The 17,398-nt window shown below is 40.4% G+C and overlaps 1 protein-coding gene across 2 annotated transcripts in view, besides 1 other annotated feature; it reads right to left on the bottom strand.

Annotated features, from left to right (window-relative positions):
* CLVS1 (clavesin 1) overlaps nucleotides 1–17,398 on the bottom strand; it is a 536,782-nt gene that overhangs the window by 324,285 nt on the left and 195,099 nt on the right. The window lies entirely within an intron of this gene.
* Nucleotides 13,420–13,921: an enhancer, noted in NCBI's record as "H3K27ac hESC enhancer chr8:62075983-62076484 (GRCh37/hg19 assembly coordinates)". NCBI's record gives its function as "activates a minimal SCP1, AML or CMV promoter by ChIP-STARR-seq in naive H9 embryonic stem cells {active_cell/tissue: H9 hESC(naive)}" and the evidence as "EXISTENCE:reporter gene assay evidence [ECO:0000049][PMID:30033119]".

Below are 17,398 nucleotides of genomic sequence, written 5' to 3'. Positions count from 1 at the left end.
CTCAGGCCCAGTGAGATCAGAGTTCTGACCCTGAGCCCCTGGCTGCAGTTGAAGTTCCTGCAGGGAGGCCCTGCCCAGTGAGGAGAAATGGGCCAGTGTCCGGCCTGAAGAGGCACTCTGGCCACAGTCTGCCACAGCCGGTGTGTTGGGCTGTGGGGAATACCTCTTGGGACCAAGAGGTCCATTATCCTTGGCTCCAGCAGGGGAAAAGTGTTGCCTGGAGCCATAGAAATGGCTGCCGCCATTCCTTTGCCCCCCCGCCCCGCCCCCTCGCCACTCCGGGAGCTTAGTGTGTTAGGCAGCTAGCAGCCCCAGTGTTGGCTGCCACACCTCCCGCAAGGAACTCAGATGGCTTAGACAGCAGGCAGCTGGGCTGTGGTGCTGGCCACCACTCCCCCTGGGAACTCAGCAGACTTAGGCAGATTCTAGTCAAGTGGCTGTTCTGAATCTGAGTGGCTCCGTGATTGGGATCCTAGGCTCCAATGGTGTGGGCTCATGAGTGGGATCTTTCAATCTGTGGGTTGCACAGATCCGTGGAAAAGGCACGGTTTCCCAGGCTGGGTAGCAAGCTAACTTATCACCTCCCTTGGCTGAGGGGTGAGGGCTCCCCCGCCTCATGTGGCTCTCCCGTGGGCTGCCGCACAACACTGCTCTTCCTTCCTCTCCATGGGTCATGCCAGCCACCTAGTCAGTCCTGAGACAGAACCTGGATACTTGGTTGCCAGTGCAGGATTCGCACACTCTTTTGATTCTTTTCAATGTGAGCCTCTGACCACCACTGCTTCTAGTCAGCCATCTTGGTCCTGCCCCCTCTTCTTTTAAAATTTAAAAAAAAAAATCATAATCATACTTGATAGTAGCTATACTTTTAATACCTACTTATTAACAAAATTCACAAGAGTAACTTGGACTGGACTCAGCTGGGCAGAAATTCTGCTCTTGGGTGGGCCTTGTCAATCTTGGCTGGGCTTGTTTATGAGTCCGGGGTTAGTGTGTGAGCCAGGTGGAGCTGACTGGCTTATGAAAGCCTCAGGTGGAATGACTGGGATGTCTCTCATTCTCCAGCAGCCTCTCCCAGGTGGGTTCACATAGCAATAAGGTCTGAGAGCAATAAGAGGGCAACCCCAGATGTTCAAGCACATCCTATATCTCTGCTTGAATTGTATTTGCTACTGTCCCACTGACCAGAAAAAAACAAAACAGCACCACAGATCCAAACCCAGTATGAGAGAGCACTTTCAAAGGGAATGAATAAAGAGAGACATTAAAATTGAGGTTATTGCTGCAATTGCCCTTAACTCTGTAAAGGAACTATATGTCTCTCCATCTAGAGTGTGTTTGGTCTGGAGAAAGTTGGCAAGTCAGGAAGTACTCTGGAAAGGGATGGCAACAACTTCTTGCCCCCTTACAAGTTTGGGGCATGGGCATTGATTAGGCAGATGTTGAGCTGAGATGGCACTCTCTCCTACAGTATCAGTTTCCTAAAGCTGCTGTAACAAATCACAAATGGGAAAGCTTACAACAGAGATTTTTCATCTCACAATTTGAAGGCTAGAAGTCTGAGAATGTCAGCAGGGCCATGTTCCCTCTTAGGGTCTAGGGGATCATACTTTCTCACTTCTCCTAGCTTCTGGTGGTTGCTGGCAATCCTTGGCATTCCTTGGCTTATGGCAGCACAGCTCCAATTTCTGCGTCTGTATACCCATGGCCTTCTTCCCTGTGCCTTTAAATCTCTCTCTTCTTATAAGGACACTAGTCATCCACTTTAATCCAGGGTGACGTCATCTTAACTTGATAATATCTGCAAAACCTTATTTCCAAATAAGGTCACATTTAAGGTATCTTAGTCCATTCAGGCTTCTATAACAAAATACCATTAACTGGATGGCCTATAAACAACAAACATTTATTTCTTACAGTTCTGGAGGCTGGGAAGTCCAAGGTCAAGGTGCCAACAGATTCAGGGTCTGATGAAGGCTTGTTCCCTGGTTCATAGATGGTGCCTTCTCACTGTGTCCTCACATGATAGAAGCACAAGTCAGCTCTCTGGGGCTTCTTTTATAAGGGCACTAATCCCATTCATGAGGGCTCTATTCTCATGACCTCATCACTTCCCAAAGGCCTCACTTTCTAACACCATCACATTGAGATTAGGTTTTAACATATGAATTTTGGGGGCTACAAATATTCAGACCATAGCAAATAAATACTTGAATTAAAATCTCAATATGTTTCTTTTGGAGAAATACAGTTCAACTCACAACACCTATCTATGACTTACTAAGTAGAGTCACTATTAGACCTCAACATCCTAGGACTTGCAAGCCAGAAGCAACCAAAAAAATTCAAACATAAGATAATAAAACTGAATTTCTTGAGTCCTAGGTCTCCGCTCTTAGGTTAACAACAAACAGCTCTTATAGACAGAAAATAGAAGACCTTTTGACCCTCAAAACTCTACCCTTATAGAATAGAGTAATGATAAGGGAAGCTGACGGGGGGGATAAAAATTTCAATACATTTCACCATGTCATTTTGCATTTACTCTCTTCCTACCTTCATGAGGGTTCAGTCTTTCCAATTAAATTGTAAGTTCTTGAAGCCAGGTACAATTTTCCACTTGTAAATATAAATGAACCCTTAATCATTGAGGAATTAACATTCATGACTTTATTCTCAATCAAGCCCTAAAATTCATGAGGCACAGTAATTTATAATGGTCAAAAAGTCATTCTGAATTCCAACAAAAAATACTGGTTGGGGAACAATTTACTTAGCTAGAGAGTTCTAGCTGGTCACACAGTGTATTTTTAACTTTGCACATTATCATTTTTTCCTTAGAAGTTGAATTTTGGTCTTTAAAATATATGGTTTTTGTTTGTTTGTTTGTTTGTTTGTTTGTTTGTTTTTTGAGACAGTCTCACTCTGTTGCCCAGGCTGGAGTACAATGACATGATCTTAGCTCACTGCAACCTCTGCCTCCCAGGTTCAAGTGATTCTCCTTCCTCTTATGACTTAACTTTTTGAATACACAGAATACAGTTTTAGTGTCCTTGACTGCTAATTCTAACATCTGTGTGGTTTGCAGACAGTTTTCATTGATTTGACCTTATAGGTTGTATTTTCCTGCTTTTTTGTTTGCCTGGAAATTTTGGGGAGGTGCTAAACATTGTGAATATTACCATGTTGAGTGATATTTTTTGTTTCATTCTAAATATTCTTGAGCTCTTTTCTAGAGTGAAATTAAGTTACTTGAAAACTATTGTATTGTTTCAGATCTTGCTTTTGATATTTGTCAGACAGGACTAGAGCAGTATTCATTCTCTGGCTAATTATCCCATTACAGATACAAGAAACTGCCAATCAGCACTCTAACCAATGCCCCACGAATCTTGTCATTTTCCAGTTTAACTGGCAAAAATAACCCATATTTTCAGTTGTGCATAAATATCAGACACTATTACCTCTAATCCTTTCAGTTGGTTCTATCCCCAGACTCAGGTAGTTTCCTCACATGCATGTGCTGATCAGTATTCGGCTGAATACTTGAGGGGACCCTCTGAACATATCCAAAGTTTCCTCTATACACAATTCTGTTTCCTCTAGTACACTGGCCTGCAAACTCCAATCACCTGAGTTTCATTTGACATAGCCTGAGCTCCCCTTTTCTCTTAGCCTGTAAACTCTCTAGGCAATATGCTGTGATAATCATAGGGTCTCCTTCCCCTGAATGATCTTTGGGTCAACAATAAAATCAAGATGGAAATGTTAAAATTCTTTGAACTAAACAATAACAGTGACAGAACCAATCAATACCACTGGGATACAGCAAAAGCGGTGCTAAGAGGAAAGTTCACAGCATTAAATGCCTACATCCAAAAGTCTGAAAGAGCACAAATAGATGATCTAAGTTCACACCTCAAGAAACTAGAGAAACAAGAACAAACCAAACCCAAACCAAGACCACATTGATCTCCACAAATTTCTAAAATTAATATTTAATGTAATGATTGATATGCACTAAAAAATAAAAGAGTGATTCATTCAGTCAGAACAAGTCACTTCAATCTAACTTCATTTTCTTTAACACAGCATTAATAGGTTGATATTCCAGGGGAATGCTTACTTATATCTCTGAATTGCACCAAAGCCACTAATACCCTATCTACTTGTGTGTGTGCATATGAAAATGTTAACCAGATAATAATTAAAGAAGGAACTGAAAAGATGCCAATAAGATGCCATTGTAGAGGGAAAGTACTGAATGCGCACTTGACACATGAGGCAGAATTTTCCTAGTTTGCCACAAAACCTGTTCACTATTCTTACTGGACACACAAGCCAGAATATAATTCCCAGCCTCCATTGAAGATAAACCCATGTAACTTAGTTCTAGCCAGTGGAATATGAGAAGTGATTTGTGCCACTTTCAAGTCTGGAGCAAAGAAATGCCTCATGGAAAAATCCTCCATGCTTTTTATTTTTCCATCACCTGAAGAAGACAAGGGTAGCAACCACAGAAGGCACACACTAAAGATGGGAGAGCCACAGATGGAAAGTACTAGGTCCCTGACTTCCTTTGGAGGAGACTGCTCACTAGTTAGGAACACTGTTTTTGTGCTTATGTGAAAATACGATAAATTTTCATTGTGTTGAGACATTGCACATTTTAAAGATTCGTATGGCAGCAGTTGAAGATACCCTCTGTAATGAAGCCTCTAAATTTGGTGCTTTGCTGTTCACATTTTTATAAAATAATTGGATCAAAATAAAATCTCATGAGTAATATTAATTTTTTAAAACTCTTGAATTGTTCATGTTATTTATTATTTTATTTTTTCTACTTTTAAAATAATACATGTGCATTACATATTTTGCAAAATTGTTGCTCCTTGCAAAGAGAAAGAAAAGTGAGAAAGAGAAAATAACAATTTTCTGTCATAAAACACTCAATGATAGCTATAGTTAATTCCACAAGTTGTCTCAAAGTCACTTCAAACTCAATTTATTCAACACCAAACTAAGGACCTTTCCCCCAAATAAAGTCTTCTTTTGATGTTTCCTACTTGGCTGAATAACAATATCCTCCCTCCAACAGCATGAGCCAAAAACCTCTAAGTGCCCTCCTCAAATGCCTTTTATGTAACCTGGAAGAATACGTAACATAGACAAAAGATGCAGTGGTTAACGAAACAACAATATATTGATACGTTGAAGTGATGGATGAAGTCTAATAATCCTATTTCAAGACAGTTTGGGATTGGGAAGAGTCACAGTACAGATGGACTAGGCAGAGGAATATGTGATTAGCAAGAGTTTGGAGGTGAATTTGACCTTTCATTCTCTGAGGATTCGCTTTTGTCATTCTCCACAGTCTTCCTGATAAAATCCAACCCTGAGTCCAGCTCAGAATCTATGTCTTGCACCAAGCCTGCTTGATTTCCACGCTTGCTTGACTTCCACACCACAGTAACCTGACTTTAGCTCAAAGTAATTTCTTTCTTACAAAAGTATTTCTCGTCCATATCGTTCATGTGGTGCCTGTTTTTAGCCATACACTATTTTTTATTTTTTAATGTGGATATACTTAGCTGTCCCAGCTAAAATTAAAGATGTATAGCTCTTAAGAGATAAGGAATGTGGCTTTTATCCCCTTGTGCACTCAGCATCTAATACATTGCCTGTTTCTTAGCATGCTTATTTTAAAAAGAGGAAAGAACAAATCCTGTTGACTTATTTCATTTTATATTGCCCTCTGCTACTGTCAGCGAAGCCATATGGAGAGTTGGAGTGAACAAAGAGACCCTTTGTGAAACTTCCCACCTCCTTATTGAACAGAAGGCAAATGACCAGGTTTCCAAAGTAGGTTATTTACATTCTGATCACTTCCTGAAATGTCTGTAAGACCAAGATTTACAAGGTAAGATTTCAGTTATATTCCAAAGATATGAATAACCCCTGCTGTGATTATTTCTCATTTAAAAGAAAAAAAATCCACTTAAATTGGCCCTCCTCCAACATACTTTTTATACTGATTAATTTCTCTCCAGTATTGACCTGCTGATCTCTTGAACATTCAAATTCACTATCTATTTCAATGACAATCTATTAACTTGATTTTTGTATTGACCACAGGACCTGGAAAATGTTTTCGAATTTGCTGATCTGCTCAAAGATGATTGTGCATATATACTGAAATTTGAGCCATGGAATTTAAAACTAACAAAATGAGGACTAACAGAAAGCTGCGAAACTCATTCCTGGCCTGACACCTGGGCAGTTAAATGGAAACTTGTGAAAAAAAGAAAAAGAAAAAAAAACCTACTAATATCTAAAGAGTCATATGTTTTACTCAAAAATCTTTTACCAAAAATAAACATAAAAGGACAGAAAGTAAGGAAGATGTTAACCATTTCCAATTTTCTCTACTCCTTTTCAAAAACACTGTATTTTCTGTTGTTCTGGTGTTATACAATATGGTAAATCAAGACATGCTCTTGTGTGTATATTTATTTACCAGTGTAGAAAGAACTCTATTCTTTAAGGAGGAAAATCATGCTATGATGCTTTTAATAATCATAGTTTTGGAATACTTGCTATTATCAAATATGGTGCTAAGTAGATTATGCCATGAGGTTCTCACATCAGTTCTAAAATAGGCATTATTCTCCGTTTTTCCAGTAAGGATGTCAAGGCTCAGAGAGGATGCTTGGATCACCCAGGGTTATTCAGGAAATATGAGGACTAAGGTTCAAACCTGGGTCAGCCTGATTGCAAGGTCAAAATTTTAAGGGCCACGTTGCCTCAAATATGGCACCATATAAGGAATTCTTCACAGTGATTTGTCATACATGTTAGTTGTAATTGGCATTTCTGGTTATCATTGTTACTGGCTTACAATGACAGTGTTGAGAATCTAAATATATACCCTTTAACTCAGAGTGAGTGCCCAATATTAGAGGCAGAGAGACAGAGGCAGAAAGACAGGCAGAGTGGAGAACGGAAAGAGAGGGGGAGAAAGTGAGAGAGAGGGACAGAGACAGACAGATAGACACAAGCTGATGCTGTGGGAAGAGAGATGGTTCTGAAATCTAGCTGACACAGCTTCAGGACCTGGCTCACCACATAGTAGCCAGTGTAATGCCCAACAAATGAAATCAACTATCTTATCGGTAAAATGGTGTGAATAATTATTGCTTCTATTGGGGGATAATGGTATGCTCATTATCTTGATTGTGGGATGATTTCACTTGTGTGTGTATATGTGTGTATATATATATATGTATATGTCAAAATTTACAAATGTACACTTTAAATGTGTGCAGCTTATTATATATTAATTATACTTCAATAAAAGTACCACAATAATAAGTAGCTTCTGTATCATTAGGAAGCATGAGAAGTAGAGTAAATGTATACTTAGGTGCCCACATAAAAGTGAAGATAATTTTTCCTTCCCCTTTGAAGACTTGAGTCTGTTAAACAAACTGACAATAGACAAATTAACAGGAGAAAAGGCATACAAACTTACTCATGTGTACATAGCCATGGGAGTCTCACAAATATGAGACTCACAGAAAGCCCAGATGGTTGAGGCTTAAACACCATCTTTATAGGGGAGAGGGAAAGGTGGGGTGTAAGCAATTTTGAGAGGTAGTAAATAATTTTAGGGGAATTAACTGAGCCCAAATAACAGACAACGGCCTGGGACAAAATATTTCTGAGTTCTTCGGGGCAGTGGTAAGAAAGAGTGGGATGGAACTTTGCTATGAACAAAGGTTGTCTTATTATGTAGATAAAGTCTCTCAGGTCATTTTTTGGAGTTGTCCTTAGAAGAATAAATGAACAGCCTGTCTGAGCACAGACAATGACTTTTGATCTTTTTTTTCCTGGCAGTTGATTATTTTCTGGCTATTTGATAAGATTTCTAGGGAGGGGCTTTTAAGACAGCTGTATTTTTTGGGGAAATAATTGTTCTTCAGTTAGGTAAAGGAACTTTTAGAAAGAGCCTCTCCCTGTGCTTGGTGGGCACAAAAAGGTAAGGTTAAAAAGTCTTTGGTTCTGAGGCAGCTTCTATGGTCTTCCAATTTCCTTTAATTGAAAGTATGCCAAAGCACCATACTTTGGGGTATCAGTCTCTGTGCCCTGCCATACCCCTGTCTGAAACTTCCCTAGAAGTTTCACACACACTAAAAGCTGAACTGGTGGCTGGAGAGACAGAATTTGAGTTAGAAGCTAAGTGGCAAAGGATACCACTAAACCCATCTCCCAACCCTGGCCAATCCAATTGAACAGTTGTAGCTCATTTAAGGAGACAGTAGGACTTTCGTCAAGGCTAGGTCTCAATATGGTGCAAGTACACAGGTATTTAATAAGAGACTTGTCTATGGAAGCAAAAGAAAATTAAAAGTTGACGTCTGGAGCAGTATATAATCTAGTCTGCAACTGGACGGCAGTCAGCTGAGAATATTTTTAAATCTGGTCTGAAGCATCTTTAGTTGGAGCAGGGTATGCAGTAGCAATCTGACAGAGTATCCTGGTGTGCAGGCTAAATGTCATAAAGGCTGTCAATATACAAGCCATCACAATGATTTCTCTGGAGTTTATTTATTAGGTTGACTAGCTTCAGCTTGCAGAGCTTCAAAACACAGTTTTTAATTTTTTGTGATTCCAAGTCAGCCGAGTGAGAGAAAATTTGGAAACATTAGTTTGGAGATTTGCAGCCAGACGTTGGAAGAAACAAAAATAATTTAATATTTAGTCCAGATTGTACATAAATAATAAAATCTCAAAAACAATGAACTAGGATCTAATAACAGGTATGCTATAGGTTTTTCTAAAATATAATTATTTTCTCTACATTGCTACCAAAGATAAATCATAGCAAGTTTAATTTACTTGTAAAATTAGTTTTGTTATACTTGGCCTGACCATTTACATAAGTCTAGCAAGACTAGTGACTGATTAGGCTCTTTTTAAGTCTGCTTTGTTGGAATTTTTAATAAAGAATGTTAGATTATTCTTTTAAAAGCCTGTCAAGGCTAGAAAGCTAGGGCAAGGAGTCACCATTGAATTATGGCTGTAAAACATATAGACTTGGCTCAATGAAGAAGAAACAAGACCCCAAAAAGAGGGCTAGTGGCACCTTTTCTGTGTTTCTTAGGGGATCTCAGGGTTGTTAGAAGTCTCCTTTAGATCTCTTTATGTGGTAGTCATGTTACAGGAAAGGGGTCCCGATCCAAACCCCAAGAGGGTTCTTCGATCTCTCACAAGAAAGAATTCAGGGTGAGTCCATAGAGTAAGGTGAAAGCAAGTTTTCCAGGAAAGTAAAGGAATAAAGAATGGCTGCTTCATAGACAGAGCAGCCCTGGGGGCCGCTGGTTGCCTGTTTTTATGGATATTTCTTGATGAAATGCTAAACGAGGGGTGGATTATTCATGTCTCCCCTTTTTAGACTATATAGGATAACTTTCTGACATTGCCATGGCATTTGTAAACTGTCTAGGCGCTGGTGGGAGTGTAGCAGTGAGGACAACCAGTGGTCACTCTCATGGTCATCTTGGTTTTGGTGGGTTTTAGCCGGCTTCTTTACTACAACCTGTTTTATCAGCAAGGTCTTTATAACCTGCGACTTTTTGCTGACCTCCTATCTCATCCTGTGACTTAGAATACCTTAACCATCTGGGATTGCAGCCCAGTAAGTTTCAGCCTCATTTTACCCAGGTCCTATTCAAGACGGAGTTGCTGTAGTTCAAACGCCTCTGACAGAACTCTGATGTTTCCTCACAGTAATTTTTATCCACTGACACTAAATAGAGAAGGTAGAGGCTTGAAGGGTACACATTAAAAATTAAAGGAAGCTGGACCGGGCACGGTGGCTCACACCTGTAATCCCAGCACTTTGGGAGGCCGAGGCGGGTGGATCACCTGAAGTTAGGATTTCGAGACCAGCCTGACCAACATGGAGAAACCCCGTCTCTACTAAAAATATAAAAAAAATTATCCGAGCCTGGTGGCACCTACTCTGGAGGCTGAGGCAGGAGAATGGCTTGAACTCGGGAGGCGAAGGTTGCGGTGAGCAGAGATCATGCCATTGCACTCCAGCCTGGGCAACAACAGTGAAACTCTGTCTCAAAAAAAAAAAAAAAAAATTAAAGGAAGCTGGATGGAAGATTGAAGGTAAAAAGGAGATAGAAGGAGCAGAAGCAAATAAAAGAACAAGACTCAGGGGAACCAGATTGAGAAGATCTTCAGTTTCCCAAAAGTCTAATAAAATTTTACATTATCTTTGGCAAAATTTATGCCATCAAGAAAGGAAGCAAATGTATTTAAATTTATTGATTAAATTAAAATAAATTAATAAATTTATTAATTTAAAAAATGGTGTTTCAGTTGACTAAGAAAAAAGTTATGGAAAAAACAGGATCCAAAGAAGAAAGTTCTTAAAGAAAAAAGAAAAAAAAGAAAAAAATTATGACCTAAGCATTACCTTTTAATTAGGCGACTTTTGACCATAGAACTTTTTAAATTTCTTAAGCTATTTTATTACCAGGTTTTAGCTGGGCAAACAGTAGAAATTCCTGTTTCCCGGCTCTTTGCATTGAAATTTGCATTTTAAAGGGGGTAGTTTCTTAGGTAAGACTGAGGAAAGAGTTTACACCTCAAAAGGCACAGAGAAATAATACAAGTGGTTAGTGGCTTAGGGTAATTACTAATCAAAAAAATTTTTTTTAGCATAAAGTTCTCTTTTACCTCAGAGAAGGGAGAAAGCAAACAAACAATTGAAACAAAAAAAAAAGCTTTTATTACGTTCCAAATATAAACAGAAATTTAAAATTTTAAATTTATGTCTCAAATGACATAAGGCTGAAACAAATAAGCACATGAGACCAAAATAAATAACGGCTTTCAGGTCGGGCACGGTGGCTCACACGTGTAATCCCAGCACTTCGGGAGGCTGAGGCAGGAGGATCACCTGAGGTTAGAAATTTGAGACCAAAAAAATTGTGGGCAACATGGTGAAATCCCGTCTGTACTAAAAATACAAAAATTACCTGGGCATGATGGCGGGTGCCTGTAATCCCAGGTACTTGGGAGGATGAGGCAGGAGAATCACTTGAACCCAGGAGGCAGAGGTTGCAGTGAGCCGAGATCGTGCCACTGCACTCCAGCCTGGGTGACAGTGCAAGACTCTGTCTCAAAAAAAAAAAAATAAAATAAATAAGGGCTTTTAAGCAAGGCCTATAAAGAGGGAGAAAAGACGCAGCCCTTTCAAACCTGTAGCATTCCAAAGGCAGGCAAAAAAAAAAAAAACGCTTAGATGCTTAGCCACAAAAATATGTAACCCACGTTCTTGCCTTGCTATATTTTGGGAGCTCCCAACCTGTGGTTGGCCACATGCACACAAAAGGCTGATAACATGTATGTTTCCATTGATGGAAAATCAGAAGAGACAAGTAGTCCATTTGAAAAATAGAAAATCAAAAGCTATTGTCAACAAAAAGAGTCAAACTCTGTAAGTTATTTGAAGAGATTTATTCTGAGCCAAATATGAGTGACCATGGCCCGTGACACAGCCCTCAGGAGGTCCTGAGAACATGTGCCCAAGGTGGTCGGGGTGCAGGTTAGTTTTATACATTTTAGCATTTTAGGGAGGCATGAGACAGCAATCAAATACATTTAAGAAATACAAAGGCAGTGATATTGAGAGACAGGACAAGCTGGATTTCCTAGGCTGACTAAGAATCCCTAAGCCTAGTTGGGAAGGTGACCGCATCCACCTTTAAACACAGAGCTTGCAACTTAGCTCACACCCAACCAATCAGAGAGCTCACTAAAATACTAATTAGGCAAAAACAGGAAGTAAAGAAATAGCCAATCATCTATTGCCTGAGAGCACAGCAGGAGGGACAAGGATCAGGATATAAACCCAGGCATTCGAGCTGGCAAGGGCAACCCCCTTTGGGTCCCCTCCCCTTGTATGGGAGCTCTGTTTTCACTCTATTTCACTCTATTAAATCTTGCAACTGCACTCTTCTGGTCCGTGTTTGTTAGGGCTCGAGCTGAGCTTTCGCTTGTGGTCCACCCCTGCTGTTTTGCCACTGTCGCAGACCCGCCGCTGACTTCCATTCTTCCGGATCCAGCAGGGTGTCTGCTATGCTCCTTATCCAAGGAGGTGCCCGTTGCCACTCCCGATGGGGCTAAAGGCTTGCCATTGTTCCTGCACGGCTAAGTGCCTGGGTTTGTCCTAATCGAGCTGAACACTAGTCACTGGGTTCCACAGTTCTCTTCCGTGACCCACGGCTTCTAATAGAGCTATAACACTCACTGCATGGCCCAAGATTCCATTCCTTGGAATCCGTGAGACCAAGAACCCCAGGTCAGAGAACATGAGGCTCACCACCATCTTGGAAGCTCTGTGAGCAAGGACCCCTGGTAATAATATGGCTCCAATGACTGGAGGAACATCAGGGTTCTTGGTCTCACACGGGTTTGGATAAAATGACATGGACACACATGGAGTGGTTTTAAAGTGCGAAAAGTTTAGTAGGCAAGAAAGAAGGAAGGAAGAAAAACAGCTCCCCCATACAGACACAGAAAGAGGGGGGATTCCAACAAAGAGAAAACCTCGTGTGTGGGGGGAGAAGTAGCTGCTTATATGAGAAGGTTGGAGGAGGTGGTGTCTGATTTGCATAGGGCTCAGGGGATTGGTTTGACCAGGCATGTCATTCATGTAGCCTGGGCGGGGGGGACTTGCCCTCCCACTCTAGCCTTTTAATATGCAAATTCAGGGCGCCATGATGTTCTGCACACATGGGGATATGTGGGGGCGGCCATGTTGTCAGACAGATGTTGGGGCAAGGGCAAGAAGACAGCGGGAATCGCAATGTTTGGGTGGACACAGTTTCTAATGGCCTGTATTTGCATACCAAAGCTTGCCAGCCCAGCTTTAAGAGCCAGGGCTTTCCTGCTAGACAAGAAACATTTCTGGAGCTGCTTTAAAAGAAAAATAACTTCCCAAGGACCCTTTTCCTCCCTATCTGTCTAAAATAATTTCTTAATAACTCCTATAATAGCAATGAGAGACAGGACTAGCTGGATTTCCTAGGCCGACTAAGAATTCCTACGCCTAGTTGGGGAAGGTGACCGCACCCATCTTTAAACACAGGCCTTTAACTCAGTTCACGCCAGACAAATCAGGTAGTAAAGAGGGCTCACTAAAATACCAATTAGGCTAAAAACAGGAGGTAAAGAAATAATCAAATCATCTATCGCCTGAGAGCACAGGGGGAGGGACAATGATTGGGATATAAACCCCACGCATTCGAGCCGGGAGTGGGCAACCCCCTTTGGGTCCCCTCCCATTGTATGGGAGCTTTGTTTTCACTCTGTTAAATCTTGCAGCTGCACACTCTTCTGGTCCGTGTTTGTTCCAGCTTGAGCTGAGCTTTTGCTCAGCTGTTTGCCGCCATGGCAGACACGCCATTGACTTCCACCCCTCCAGATCTGTGTCTGCTGCGTTTCTGATCCAGCAAGGCGCCCATTGGTACTCCCCAACGGCCTAAAGGCTTGCTATTGTTCCTGCAAGGCTAAGTGCCCGGGTTCGTCCTAATAGAGCTGAACACTAGTTGCTGGGTTCCACGGTTCTCTTCCACAACCCACGGCTTCTGACAGAGCTATAACACACACTGCATGGCCCAAGGTTCCATTCCTTGGAATCTGTGAGGCCAAGAACCCCAGGTTACAGAGCAAAAGGCTTGCTGCCATCTTGGGAGCAGCCCACCACCATCTTGGGAGCTCTAAGAACAAAGACTCACCCGTAACAAATACACATAAGGCAACGGCTTGGAGGGAGAGCTTTCTGAGATCGTTTTTTTACATATAGAGTCTTTCTAAGTCAAAAGATCCATTATCTGTCATTGACAATTAGGGTCCCCAATGGTGTACTTATTTTTGTACTGACGTAATCTAATAAACCTCTTCAAGGAAAGACTAGGATGTAATTTTTTTAAGTTTAGAATAAAATTTTTCATCAAGGTAAGAAGCATTCCCAAAGAAGGTGTGGAAGAGGCAGCTCCCATGATACCCAAAAATTCACTCCCGGAAATAGACTAAAGAAGCCAAAAGATCCTGTTGACACAGATGGTTAAGGCTGGTGTCTGTGCAGTGTCTCTGGTCTCCTTATGAATATGTGGACACATGGACAGATGGGGGTGCCTTCAGTCACAGACTCACCAACCTATGAGTCCAGGCAGGGTTTTCTGGGGTTGGACTTTCCTAGGACTAACAAGGCAACAAAGCCTGAAATGACAGAAAGCCCCATGGGTGAGACTTCTTATTAAGACAAATGCCCCTGTGAGTTTGGCACTTTGGAAAAGAGAGTATTACTTAATAATTTTACGTGTCATGGGTTACCAGGCCTTTCAGACTGGCCATCTGATGTGATCTAATAACCATGCCCCCAGCTGGCAGGCAAGCAGAGAGAGTGTTTTCACTTGGCCCCAAAAGCCAGGCTCTCGAGATATAAAACAAGACAAAAGGCTAGCTCAAACAACAGGTTTATAAGGGCCTTAGGCCCATGTTGTACCCAATAGTTTTCTTCTTTGTGACAAACAACACAGAAAGATAGAGACAAAGGAAAACAAAGGCCATTTCTGGAAGCAAAAGGATCAGATAAGATGAGTGCTCATACTAAAAATACACTGGAGTTGCTATACCCAAGGACCAGTCCATACAAATGCTTTTCCCCTATTAATCTAAATTTTGATAGGAAAGAGAGAAAATAGTGTGTTTTGCCATTCATTCAACTGGAATTCATAGACAGAGAACGAGGAGTCTGACTGGTAAGAAATTCTTCCCATTTTTGCTGGTTTTTCAGTCCTAGTTTCTCTCAACTGCAGATTCCAAAGGAGCAAGAGTGGTTTTGGTATCCTGCCAGCTATGCCAAATCTATGAGGCCAAGACAATTTTCCCTCACTCCCTGAAGGTTCATGTCTGCTACACAAACTGACAATAAACAGACTAATAGGAGAAAAAGCATACAAATTTATTAACACACAAGTGTCTGCAGGAGTCCTGCAAATATGGGATTCAAAGAAAGGCCACTTGGTTGTGGCTAAACTATCTTCTTCATAGGGGAGAAGAAAATGAGGGGAATATAGGCAATTTTGAAGGGTAGTGAACAATTCTGAGTGATTGAATGAGCTTAAAGACCATGCAATGGCCTGGGACAAAGTTTCTCCAAGCTCTGGGAAAGACGGCAAGAAGGTAAGAGAGTGATCTTTCAAACAGCTCTTGCTATTATCCAAACATTTGCATATTATCTTCATCAACACTACGTTTTTTTTTTTTGTCAAAAAGTAGTTGTAACTATAGAATTATATTTCCTTGCAGTTTTTCTCCAGCTTTATTGAGGTATAATTGTCAGGTAAAAGTTGTATATATTTAAGGTGTACAATGTGGTGTTTTGATATACATAGACAGTTTAAAAATGCTTATTAAGCTAATCAACATAGCCATCACCTCACATATTTATTTTTTTGCGATGAGAACATTTAAAACCTATTCCGGTAGTGATTGCCAAGTATAAATATGGTACTATTGACAACAGTCATGATGCTATGCATCAGATCTCTAGAACTTATTCATTCTGCATAACTAAAATTGTGTACCCTTTGACCAACATCTTTTCTTCCCTAACCCCAGCCCTGTGAAATACCATTCTCCTCTCTGCTTCTATGAATTCCACTTTTTTAGACTCCACATATGAGTGAGGTCCTGTAGTATTTGTCTTTCTATGTCTGGCTCATTTTACTTAGCATAAAATCCTAGATGTTCATCCATGTTTTCAAAAATGACGGAATTTTCTTCTTTTTTAAGGCTGAATAGTATTCAACATTTGCCTCATACATTCATCCATTGATGAACACTTAGGTCAAACCCATGTTGTCACTATCGTAAATAATGCTGCAATGAACGTGGGAGTGCAGATGTCTCTTTACATACTGATTTCAATTTTTTTGGGATATAGCCAGAAGTAAAATTGTTGAGTTATATGGTAATTTCTAGTTTTCTGCGGTGCCTCCATAGTGTTTCCCATAATAAGTGTACAAATTTACATACCAACTGTGTACAAGGGTTCACTTCTCTCTACATCCTCACCAACACTTGTTATATTTTGTCTTTTTGATAACCCTTCTAACAGGTGTGTGTTGATACTTCATTGTGGCTTTGCTTTGCATTTTCCTGATAATTAGTGATGTTCAGCATTTTTCATATACCTGTTTGCCATTTATTTATTTTCTTTGGAGAAATGCCTATTCCGCTCCTTGGTCTATTTTTTAATATGGTTATTTATTTTCTTACTATTGGGTTATTTGGGTCACTTATATATCTTGGATATTAAAAACTCATGAGACATATGGTTTGCAAATATTTTCTCCTCTTCTACGAGAGTATTCTTGCTAAACTGACAGCAGGATTTTTTCTAAGACTGGGTTATGCAGACCTGGCTAGAACAGGGGCAAGGTTGAGGCCTAGTCAAGAAAAAGACTCAGAGAAGCCTGGATAAAGTTTTGTCAAGTAAAGGGTGTTTGTCAATTCCATCCTCTAAATATTTAACTGGACTCAACAAATCCCTGCTGAAAAGTAAATGCCCACCAAAAAAAGTCATTTATTTCTGTCATTTATACCTGGCTACTAATTAATCTCAGGAAAAAAAAAATCTCTTAACAAGAAGAGGTAATTTAGAAATTTAGAAGCACAATCTTTGGAAAAGGGTAGGTGGGGATACTCTAAGGCCCTGAGGGTAGAGATGTAAGCAAGTCTTCTCTCCTTTTTCCATTTTCCTTCTGCTCCTGCAGTCTTGACTGCAAGTTCCCCTGGGCTGCCAGAGTTGGCAGGCATTAGGAAGGCCCTGGTAGAATTGTTTTTGTTTCGGGAGGATGCTTGTTTTGTTTTGTTTACTAAATATAGATTCCTTCACATAGTAAGGAATCATAATGGGTAAAAGAAAAGCTAAACAAGCAAATGTTCCTCATGAATCAGATACTGATTTCAGTCATTTTTAATGGCTTATTGACTTAATATTGGTACTGATTTCAAAGATTGTACAATTAATTTCTACTATCAATATGTATGTAAAAATTTAAGGTTAGAATTCAGCTAAATCTTATAAGTTGTACAAACAGGGCTCTTCCATCCTCATCTGAAGACCTAATCTGTCCTCTGTTTCTTCAGCAGAGAAGCTCAGGCCAGAGAAGAAATGGAAATGCAGCACCCCTCAGCTCCACTTACAGTGAGCAGCAAGATCAAAAGTTTATCCTCAAGAAGTGTCAGCCACTTCTATCTGCAAAAGTCTAAGCCTGGGTGGAGAAGAACTATAAATACTTCTGAAGGC

The sequence above is a fragment of the Homo sapiens genome, chromosome 8, assembly GCF_000001405.40.
Source record: "Homo sapiens chromosome 8, GRCh38.p14 Primary Assembly".
In the NCBI taxonomy this organism is placed as follows: domain Eukaryota; kingdom Metazoa; phylum Chordata; class Mammalia; order Primates; family Hominidae; genus Homo; species Homo sapiens.
This window is presented reverse-complemented; position numbering and strand designations above follow the sequence as displayed.